This window comes from Homo sapiens, chromosome 7, assembly GCF_000001405.40.
Source record: "Homo sapiens chromosome 7, GRCh38.p14 Primary Assembly".
In the NCBI taxonomy this organism is placed as follows: Eukaryota; Metazoa; Chordata; class Mammalia; order Primates; family Hominidae; genus Homo; species Homo sapiens.
Window position 1 is genome coordinate 20,814,076 of NC_000007.14, and position 11,976 is coordinate 20,826,051.

The following is an 11,976-nucleotide window of genomic DNA, read 5'->3' on the forward strand; positions in this document are numbered from 1 at the left end:
AGGCTGAGGCGGGTGGATCACATGAGGCCAGGAGATCTAGACCAGTCTGGCCAACACGGCAAAACTCTGTCTCTACTAAATTAGCCAGAGGTGGTGGTGCACACCTGAAATCCCAGTTACTTGGGAGATTGAGGCACAAGAATCACTTGAACCTGGGAGGCAAAGGTTGCAGTGAGCTGGGATCGCACCGCTGTACTCTAGCCTGGGCGACAGAAGGAAAAACAAAAAACAAACAAAAAAAGAAAATGTATACAGAGTCTCAAAAATTGTGAGTAAGTTAGTAACATCATTTCCAAAAGTGTTCATTAAATGTTATTTTTAAGTAGTATGCAATACCTAATAATTAAGTGTGATAAATATTATTTTTCCACTAGGCGCAGTGGATCATTCCTGTAATCCTAGCATTTTGGGAGGTTGAGGCAGGCAGATCACTTGAGGCCAGCCTGGCCAACATGGCAAAACCCTGTCACTACCAAGAATACAAAAATTAGCTAGGTCCACACCCAGGTGTCTGCCTGTAGTCCCAGCTACTTGGTTAGTCTGAGGTGGGAGAATCCCTTGAGTCCAGGAGGCTGAGGTTACAGTGAGCTGAGATCACCACTGCATTCCAGCCTGGGGATAGAGCAAGACCATGTCTCAAAAAAAAAAAAAAAAAAAAAAAATATATATATATATATATATATATATATATATATAAAATATATATGATGCTATATATGTAAAATGATATATATATATGTTTTCTCTATTATGTAAACAAAGTAAGGGTTATTGAGACCCTGAAAGTACAAAAAGGAACTTATTAGTAAGAAAATACAATGTAGAATATTTTCATTGAATAATGATGCATATCTTAGTCATAAACTCCATTAGAATCCCAATATTTTAACTCTAAAATTTCAGCTACAAATGATCATTTGATTACTTACGTTTTGATACTAGATATTTTATATTGTTCTAAGAATTTTTAAAACAAAATTTCTCACGAGTGGTTAAAATAACTCTTGAAGAAAAAATATTTGATAGAAATTTGAAATATTTGCTTCCCATGAAAGTACATCTGAGTTCTAAATGATGTGTGTAAGTATGAGTCAAAGATGCCGGGCGCGGGGGCTCACGCCTCTAATCCCAGCACTTTGGGAGGCTGAGGTGGGCGGATCAAGAGGTCAGGAGATCGAGACCATCCTGGCTAACACGGTGAAAACCCGTCTCTACTAAAAATACAAAAAAATTAGCGGGGCGTGGTGGCGGGTGCCTGTAGTCCTAGCTACTCCAGAGGCTGAGGCAGGAGAATGGCGTGAACCAGGGAGGCGGAGCTTGCAGTGAGCCGAGATCGCGCCACTGCACTCCAGCCTGGGTGAGAGAGTGAGACTCCGTCTCAAAACAAACAAACAAAAAAAAAGTATGAGTCAAAGATGGTGTTTGGAGAATTACGTAGAGGCTAAGACTATTCACCTTCTAGAACTTACTTGTTTGTTTCCTCCATTGGTTTGAAAGTTCTTTTTTTTTTTTGAGACGGAGTCTCACTCTGTTGCCAGGCTAGAGTGCTGTGGCGCGATCTCCGCTCACTGCAACCTCCAACTCCCTGGTTCAAGGGATTCTCCTGCCTCAGCCTCCCGAGTAGCTGGGATTACAGGCATGCGCCACCATGCCCGGCTAATTTTTGTATTTTTAGTAGAGATGGGGTTTCACTATGTTGGCCAGGATGGTCTCGATCTCCTGACCTCGTGATCTGCCCGCCTCGGCCTCCCAAAGTGCTGGGATTACAGGCGTGAGCCACCACGCCCAGTCGGTGGTTTGAAAGTTCTTTGAGAGTATGACAGTGTCTTATGCTTTTTTATTTTCTTCCTACCATACATTATCTTGCCTTGGACATGGAAAATACTAATTGAATATTCAAATGAATTGAATGAACATGATGAACTTGAGATCTGTAATGACCTATAATTTAATTTTTAAATCAGAGTCTAATAATTCTTATCCATATCACTTTTAACTTTTGTCACTTCTGGTTAAGTTGTTAGATCAGACTTTGAGTTAATTTGCAAAATTAGACAAGGTTTATCATGTTGTTTTAGAAAAATAACCTAATTAAACACTGGGATTGTCGACAAGACATGCTTGGTGAAATATTTTGATGAAGGTATTTCTCTTTAAATAATAATTGTAAAATAATGGTTTGGATGAACATATGCAATCATTTATGTAAGGCAGACTGCTTCTAATTCTTTTGTTCCTTTCCAAACACTAACTATGGGACATAAAATAAAAAGACATTAATATTCAAAATACATAGTGTTTTTGGTTCTTTTTAAATCATGATTTTTTTCTTTTTTTTTTTTTAGTGGCTAGTGTAGCACTTGGAAAATCATATACACTTCAATCCCAGGAATAGTGGTATTGCCAAAGCAAAACATCTTCTATTTACATATAAATGTCCTCATTCAGCATGACTGAATACCTTTCTCATTTATAATGAAGTGGCAACAACCACAGCAATCAAATTCTAAGACATAGAGGCTAGATTAAAGTGACTGAGCATATCTCAGGATCGAAAAACAATCTTTCAAAAAATTTAGCCTGGTCCCAACGTATAATCCTTCGTAAAGCTATTTTGAATTATTGCCAGATCCCTGGCTGTGATTTTGCAATTCCAACCAAATACTTCATGAGACCTTTGGAGGAGAATCTCAGAAGTTCCTGCTGCAGCCAGTGACACAGAGGAAGTGTTGATCTGTTTTCACTGTACCATCTGTGTTTTGCTGAGAGACCAGTGGCTTTTATTTGTAAAGTGACCTATCGAAGCCAATGAACATTGTGGTTTTGCATTAACCATAATATTGTCATTTCAAATGGAATGTACAAGTTTATCAAAATCCACTTTAAACTTTTTATGTTCTCAAAGCAACAGGAAGCCAATTTATGTGGCCAATTAAATAGCTGTTGACTTTGATTTTGGTATTTTGTGCCATGGTCTTATCATTTAATTTGAAATACATATATTTTTAATCAAAACATTAAAAAAGAGTAAAATTTATTCTGCAATTGCTCCTTTTAAAATTTAAAATAATTGTATTTATTATTTAATATTTGAATAAATATCATTTGAACATCAATCTCACTACCAGTTTAGAGCAATCTTCTAAGTTATTTTGCTCTTCTTAAATATATTTTAAGATATGAGAGCAAACTAGATTTCTGAGAGTTTGTAAAATAAAGGAAAACAAATTAGGCATTTCTTCAGAAATGTGACCTCCTAAAGGACAGCTAAAGAAAACTTTTTAAAAAGGATTGTTTTTACTTCTGTCCTTTCCTTGGACTTTCCTAATCAACTCTTTTGTTCATGTAATAGCTTTTTTGAACTATAACTCATATACCATAATATTCACCCATTTAAAGTATACAATTCAGGCCGAACACTGGTGGCTCACACCTGTAATCCCAGCACTTTGGGAGGCTGCGGTGGGAGGATCGCTTGAGGTCAGGAGCTCAAGACCAGCCTGGGCAACATGGCGAAACCCTGTTTCTACGAAAAATACAAAAATTAGCTAGGGCTGGTGGTACATGCCTGTAGTCTCAGCTAGTTGGGAAGTTGAAGTGGGAGGATCACCTGAGCCCAGAGGTCAAGGCTGCAGTGAGCCGTGAACACTCCACTGCACTCTATCCTGGGTGACAGAGTAAGATCCTATCTCTAAATAAATAAATAAATAAATAAATAAAATAAAACATACAATTTGAAGCAAATAATGTATATAGCGGTCCGTTTTCAAGACAAAGTGCCTCAAATTGGCTCAGGTCAGCAAACTACAGAGGAAACAAGATATACTAGGCCTCTGCTTGGATAACCAATGCCTGCTTGTCAGTCCCCGCCACCCCCCAACCCATTAGTTGCCCCTAGCCCAACCAAAGAAATTTAGTCTAAGATGAAAGTTTACTAGCCTGCAAGATAGCTCACTTTGTCTGTTCTTATTAGCCTGCCCAGCTACTTAGGTTATAAGTCAAATACTTAAGAGCTCCTGAGTTGACTAGGATTGCAATGTATTGTGGGCTGCAACAAAATGCATCAGGACAACCCTAAAGAAAACACCTAAAGCCCCTACCCAAAAACCAATCGATGACATCCGGGAAGATTGTAACCCCATAGTACTCAGTCTATGAGGAACTAGGGGAGGGACCTGTGCATTAGGGGATATATTGCTTGTTGAAACCATGCTGGGTATGCCTGTCCATCAGACACCTGATCTCGCAAGACTGTCATTAAAAGTCTCACTTTTGCTGTTCTCTGGTTCTCTGAGTCTATTCTTTGGGTTTGGACAGGTGAGTTTGTTTCTCACACAATTCAATGGTTTTTAATGTATCACAGGGTTGTACTACCATTATCACAATCAATTTTAGACATGTTTTAATCTCCCTCAAAAAACCCATACTCTTTAGCTACCACCATGCAAATTCCTCATGTTCCCATCTCCACCAGCCCAAAGCAATCAATAGATGTCTTTAAAAAAATATCTTGCCATGTCACAAGATCAAGCCTGTCACTTGTTGCAGAGCCAACAATAAATGAATGGAACTGAATACAACCTCCTAATAAGTGCATGCATATCAGACATGAGATATAAAATATCCTTTACATCCTATGCCCTAAACTACTTTCTATCTCTAGATTTGCCTATTCTGGACATTTCAAATAAATGGAATCATATAATATGTGGCATTTGTGACAGGTTCCTTTCACTTAGCATAACATTTTCAAGGTTTATCTATGTTGTATAACGTATCAGTACTTTGTCTCCTTTAATGAATGAATAATGTTGTTAATATTAATTCCATTAATAATATTAATATGGATATATGAAATTTTGCTCATCCATGCATCAGTTGATGGGCATTTTGGTTGTTTCCACCTTTTGTTTTTTTTTAATTTTATTAAAAAAATTTTTAAGGCTAGTTAAGTGATGCAGTGGGAGTGGAGAAGGAACAAAGAAATCTGTGACTGGGGCCGGGCGCGGTGGCTCAGGCCTGTAATCCCAACACTTTCGGAGGCTGAGGCAGGTGGATCACAAGGCCAGGAGTTCGAGACCAGCCTGACAACATGGTGAAACCCTGTCTCTGCTAAAAATACAAAAATTAGCCGGGTTTGGTGGCACACATCTGTAATCCCAGCTACTCAGGAGGCTGAGGCAGGATAAGCACTTGAACACAGGAGAAGGAGGTTGCAGTGAGCGGAGATCCTGCGCCACTGCACTCCAGCCTGGGCGACAGAGCGAGACTCCGTCTAAGAAAAAAAAAAGAAAGAAAGAAATCTGTGACTGGTTGTAATCAATTTGTTATAAACACCACTGCACTCGGACCAGAACTTTTGGTTATTTTAACCAAAAAGGATGACATACCAAGAGCATTGAATCGGAACCTGAATTTTCTAACCCAGGTCCATCCTCCTTCATTTCAACAAGTTATCAGAATTTTATTTGTCCAAAATGTAATGTTTGATAATTATTATTTTTCTTTTTGTTGTTTCTTGTGCACATAGCATAATGTCTGGCACGCAGGTGAGAATCAGCTATTTTATTTCGGTGTGTCGTTCATAATGCTGCTATGAACATTCAGGTACAAGGTTTTTTGAGGACAAATGTTTTAATTTCATTTGAGTATATCTGTAGGCCTCTTTTCCAGATGCTAAACAAACAGCTTCTACAAACGCAGACTAAGGCACTTCTGTAAGTTCTGAGAACTATCCCCCTTAGCCCATGCCTCCAAACTTGGGCAAGTTAAGTCAAAATTCTACTCAACCTTCCAGGCCCAATTCATTCATTCACGCATTCATTCAATCAATATTTTATTTATTTATTTATTTATTTTTGAGATAGGGTCTGGCTCTTTCATCACATCTGGAGTGCAGTGGTGCCAACAGAGCTCACTGTAGCCTTGACCTTCTGGGCTCAAGCAAACCTCTCATCTCAGCCTGTTGCATAGGTAGGACTCCAGGTGTGTGCCACCATGCCTGGCTAATTTTTCTAAAAAATTTTGAGGAGGCAGGGTCTCGCCATTTTGTGCAGGCTGGTCTAAAACTCCTAGGCTTGCCAGGCGTGGTGGCTCACCCCTGTAATCCCAGCACTTTGGGAGCCCGAGGCAGGCGGATCGCCTGACAGGTTGAGGGTTCAAGACCAGCCTGACCAACATGGAGAAACCCCGTCTCTATTTAAAAAATACAAAATTAGCCAGGCATGGTGGTGCACGCCTGTAATCCCAGCTACTCAGGAGGCTGAGGCAGGAGAATCGCTTGAACCCAGGAGGCGGAGGTTGCAGTGAGCCGAGATGACACCATTGCACTCCAGCCTGGGCAACAAGAGAGAATCTCCGTCTCAAAAACAAAACAAAAAAAAAAACTCCTGGGTTCAAGCAGTCCTCCCACCTTGGCCTCTCAAATGTGTGAGCCAACATGCCCGGCCTCAACAAATATTTACTGATTCTCACCTATGTGCCAGGCACTATGTTATGTGCACAGGAAACAACAACAAAAAGAAAAATATTAATTACCAGACATTACATTTTGGACAAATAAAATTCTGACAACTTGTTGAAATGAAAGAGGATAGAGTTGGGTTAGAAAATGTAGGTTCCAAATCTATGCTGTTGGTGTGTCGCACTTTTGTTAAATAACATTGGGCAAATGATGGAATTCTTCAAATGTTTTATAATCTGTGAAATATATATAATATTTTCTACCTAATGAAGCTGTGAGAATTCAGCTTAATATGAGATCTGAAAGCATTCTGCAATGTATAACAAGGTATAATTATTATTTTTAAAAATATTTTAATATATAATATTCTAAAATAATATCTTAATCTTATTATTTTTAATATTCTATTCCCTATAATACAGAATAGGGTTGTGGTTAAGAAGACCCGACTGTCTGGACTGTGTCTTGGCTCTTCCACTTATTGACAAGGATGTTATGAGAATAACATGAATCAATACATGTAAAATATTTAGAATAATGCCTGGCAGTTAATAATCACCCAGTATTTAATATTAATTATATTATTGCTATTATAATCAACAATAATGTTGTTATTTTATAATTACTAATATTAATAATTAATAACATTAGCTGATGTTATTATTTATGAGGTAGGCTTATATTGAATAACCTCTTTTTATTTTTTATTTTATTTTATTTTTTTGCATTTGGAATGGGTCCTTTTTTTTTTAATTTTTTAATTTTTATTATTATACTTTAAGTTCTAGGGTACATGTGCACAACGTGCAGGTTTGTTACATATGTATACATGTGCCATGTTGGTGTGCTGTACCCATTAACTCGTCATTTACCTTAGGTATATCTCCCCTCCCCCCACCGCATGACAGGCCCCAGTGTGTGATATTCCCCTCCCTGTGTCCAAGTGTTCTCATTGTTCAATTCCCACCTATGAGTGAGAACTTGCGGTGTTTGGTTTTCTGTCCTTGTGATAGTTTGCTGAGAATGATGATTTCCAGCTTCATCTATGTTCCTGCAAAGGACATGAATTCATCCTTTTTTATGGCTGCATAGTATTCCAAGGTGTATATGTGCCACATTTTCTTAATCCAGTCTATCATTGATGGGCATCTGGGTTGGTTCCAAGTCTTTGCTATTGTGAATAGTGCTGCAATAAGCATACATGTGCATGTGTCTTTATAGCAGCATGATTTATAATCCTTTGGGTATATACCCAGTAATGGGATCGCTGGGTCAAATGATATTTCTAGTTCTAGATCCTTGAGGAATCGCCACACTGCCTTCCACAATGGTTGAACTAATTTACACTCCCACCAACAGTGTAAAAGCGTTCCTATTTCTCCACATCCTCTGCAGCATCTGTTGTTTCCTGACTTTTTAATGATCGTCATTCTAACTGGTGTGAGATGGTATCTCATTGTGGTTTTGATTTGCATTTCTCTGACGACCATTGATGATGAACATTTTTTCATGTGTCTGTTGGCTGCATAAATGTCTTCTTTTGAGAAGTGTCTGTTCATATCCTTTGCCCACTTTTTGATGGTTTTTTTTTTTTCCCTGAAAATTTGTTTAAGTTCTTTGTAGACTCTGGATATTACCCCTTTGTCAGATAGGTAGATTGCAAAATTTTTCTCCCATTCTGTAGGTTGTCTGTTCACTCTGATGGTAGTTTCTTTTGCTGTGCAGAAGCTCTTTAGTTTAATTAGATCCATTTGTCAATTTTGGCTTTTGTTGCCATTGCTTTTGGTGTTTTAGACATGAAGTCCTTGCCCATACCTATGTCCTGAATGGTATTGCCTAGGTTTTCTTCTAGGGTTTTTATGGTTTTAGGTGTAACATTTAAGTCTTTAATCCATCTTGAATTAATTTTTGTATAAGGTGTAAGGAAGGGATCCAGTTTCAGCTTTCTACATATGGCTAGCCAGTTTTCCCAACACCATTTATTAAATAGGGAATCCTTTCCCCATTTCTTATTTTTGTCAGGTTTGTCAAAGATCAGATGGCTGTAGATGTGTGGTGTTATTTCTGAGGCTTTACATCTACACAGGCTACTTTCTGGATAAATGTGGAGGTCATTGTAAAAATCCTGACTGACTATTTCACTCCGTCAACTTACCAAATGTCAGGAATTTTCAGATGAAATCCAAATCTCTTCAATATGTGAGATGTTGATAACATGTTATTCCCTTTGTTTCTTGGTTTCATTTCATTTCATACACTATGTATTTAATTGCTCAAGATGACACAAATTCACTTATTACTATTACTGAAACTTATAAGCATTCATGGATGACTAACTGAATTGGTTTTTATTAAGCATGGTTTGGATACCACCATGGATGTGTGACCTTTGCTCCATTTGACAAGGATGAGCTGTATCCCTTATATTTTTATCTACATCTTCACAGATACATGACGTTCATTCTTATGATAAAAATCTTTCTATTTAAGGAAACTATATTAGAGTAAAGATAAGCTGATATAGCAAACAGATGCTAAATACAATTGCTTAAAGAAAGCAAAAGTTTCTCTTACTCACTGTATACAGAGAACGGTCCAGGGCAGCTTGGCTCCCTGATATCAGTCAAAGACTCAGGTACCTTCCTTCAGCTTGCACAACCAACCCCTAGGGCACTGTTGCCCATATGCATGGCAAAGTGAGATTGCCAGTCATTTCCTTCAAGTGAAAAAGGAATAGAGAACAGGAAGAAACATACCCTGGGCCCTACAGCTCAGGCCAAGTAGTAGAATTGATTACTTCTCATGTTCTATAACAACAAGTAACCACAAAGGATGCTGGAAAATGTGATCTACCCTGGTAGTCATATGCCCAGGAAAAGAAGGAAAATAGATTTTGGTAGACAGCTAGCAGTTTCCATCAAATATATTATTTTATTCATTTGGAGAATTATATCTCTAAGATAAATAATTTGTGATTTCAATAAGGGTTTTCTTTTACTGATTCATAGCAATTTAAACCTGCTTTCATATTCTGTTGGATTCCTATTATATTGTGCTATGAGGAAAGCAAAATTCATGCTTGGGAGTAAAGTACTCGCTGACTTGTACTGTTTTCTTGCACAAAGCAAGATAGCCCAAGAGTCTTTTGAACGAAGAATACATTTTCCTCAGTGTCAAAAGACGAATACTCATGATTTGGGGATATCAAATAAGCTAAAATAAATGCACTTGAGAAGTGTAAAGCTTTCTATAAATGCAAGATTTTTATTATTACAGTATTATTATCACTTAAGTGTTAGCGGTCCATTCTTTTTTTTTTTTTGAGACAGAATTTCGCCCTTGTTGCCCAGGCTGGAGTGCAATGGCACAATCTCAGCTCACCGCAACCTCCACCTCCTGGGTTCAAGCAATTCTCCTGCCTCAGCCTCCTGAGTAGCTGGGATTACAGGCATGTGCCACCACACCCAGCTGATTTTGTATTTTTAGTAGAGACGGGGTTTCTCCGTGTTGATCAGGCTGGTCTCAAACTCCCAACCTCTGGTGATCCGCCCACCTCGGCCTCCCAAAGTGCTGGGATTATAGTTGTGAGCCACCACGCCCGGTCAGCGGTCCATTCTTTACAGGATATTATGTATATTGGCTCAACAAGGAGTTGGCCTTCTTACAAAGACACTGTTCTTTACTTTCCAGTTTACTTTTCCAGCCTATCCTAGAGAGTTCAAAGTGTGATCTGCCAAGCTAACTAAAATGTGATGATAATTATAACAGACTTTGTCACAGAAATGAATAATATAGTTAAACCCCATGCTTTCATTACCATGATCCACATAGTTACACATTTTTAGCTTCTTGTCTGGAACTTACCAAATTTCCTATGTTGCTAACATACTGGTTTCCCACAAGTTATGTTAATTTCTTAGAATTTATTCTTATTCTTATAGAAAAAGCTACATTAACCCCAGGAGTTGTGGCTCATGCCTGTAATCCCAGCACTTTGGGAGGCTGAGGTGGGTGGATTGCTTGAGGCCAGGAATTGGAGACCAAACTGGCTAACATGGCAAAACCTTGTCTCTACTAAAAATACAAAAATTAGCCAGGCATGGTGGTGCATGCCTGTAATCCCAGCTACTCAGGAGGCTGAGGCAGAAGGATCGCTTGAACCCAAGTGGTGGAGGTTGCAGTGAGCTGAGATCACACCACTGCACTCCAGCCTGGGCAACAGGGTGAGACTCTGTCTCAAAAAAAAAAAAAAAAAAGAAGAAGAAGAAGAAGAAGAAGAAGAAGAAGAAGAAGAAGAAAAAGCTACATTAAAATTTACATTTGTTTATTGTAGTACTGGCTTTTCCATCCAAGATTCTCGAAAATGTTGGAGGTATTCTTTGGAGAAATAATCCTAATTTTTTTTTTTTTTTTTACAATGATTCTATAAACAAGTCTCTTGACAAAATGAGCTTGTTTGTCCCACAGAGGTGTGCCTACTTTGGTCGGTGAGAAGATACCTGCAAACATATTGTCTCTTCTCAGGAAAAGAAAAAAAAACTTATTTTTTCTCATAATATACTCTGTTATTATCGTTGAATTGGTGTGATTATTGTCAAACAATAATTATTTCTTATAGTTGCCTATGATTTTTATTTTTGCACTATTTATGTGGAATTTTCTATCAATCTTTAGGAAAAAAACCGAGCGGAAGAGGAGCTTTACAGTAATAATAATACTGTAAGGATGTCCAAAAAAAATAAGATAGTATTGCCAGGTGCGGTGGCTCACACCTATAATCCCAGCACTTTCGGAGGCGGAGGTGGGCAGATCACGAGGTCAGGAGATCGAGACCTTCCTGGCTAACACAGTGAAACCCCGTCTCTACTAAAAACATAAAAAATTAGCCAGGCGTGGTGGCGAGTGCCTGTAGTCCCAGCTACTCTGGAGGCTGAGGTGGGAGAATGGCGTGAACCTGGGAGGCGGAGGTTGCAGTGAGCTGAGATCACGTCACTGCACTCCAGCCTGGGCAACAGAGCAAGACTCTGCCTCAAAAAAAAAAAAAAAAGATAGTATTAGGAGAGTGGACTAATTTTCTAAAATTAGATAATCCTTGGGTACAAGAAGCTATAAAGCATAAAGAAGAAATTCTTGCCTTCAAAGAACTGCATTCTAATTTTAGAAAGATTAGACCGTAGTGAACAGATGCATAGAGTCAGTCTTGTGCAAAACACATGACTTGTGGAAAGTACCTACCCTGATTCACCCCAACATTAGCCTAGATCTTACTTGGGTTAATTTTACACACCACTCCTATTGTTTTAAGAATGTTTGTCCTCTACAAATGTCTCTTCTTTCAAAAACAAACCCATTTGGGGATTATGGCGATCTTTGTTCCTGATTAAAATTTCTCTATTCTGTTGCTTTGTATTTTACCTTTCACAGTAGCTTAATCCATATTCTATGGTTTTGTGATTAACCCTGAGTATGGAATCTTAGTGTCGGTTTCATATGAGCCTCATTGGAACATAAAG

General features: G+C 38.4%; 1 annotated feature.

The window, feature by feature from the left end:
- Window positions 2,227–2,839: an enhancer, noted in NCBI's record as "NANOG hESC enhancer chr7:20855921-20856533 (GRCh37/hg19 assembly coordinates)". NCBI's record gives its function as "activates a minimal SCP1, AML or CMV promoter by ChIP-STARR-seq in primed H9 embryonic stem cells {active_cell/tissue: H9 hESC(primed)}" and the evidence as "EXISTENCE:reporter gene assay evidence [ECO:0000049][PMID:30033119]".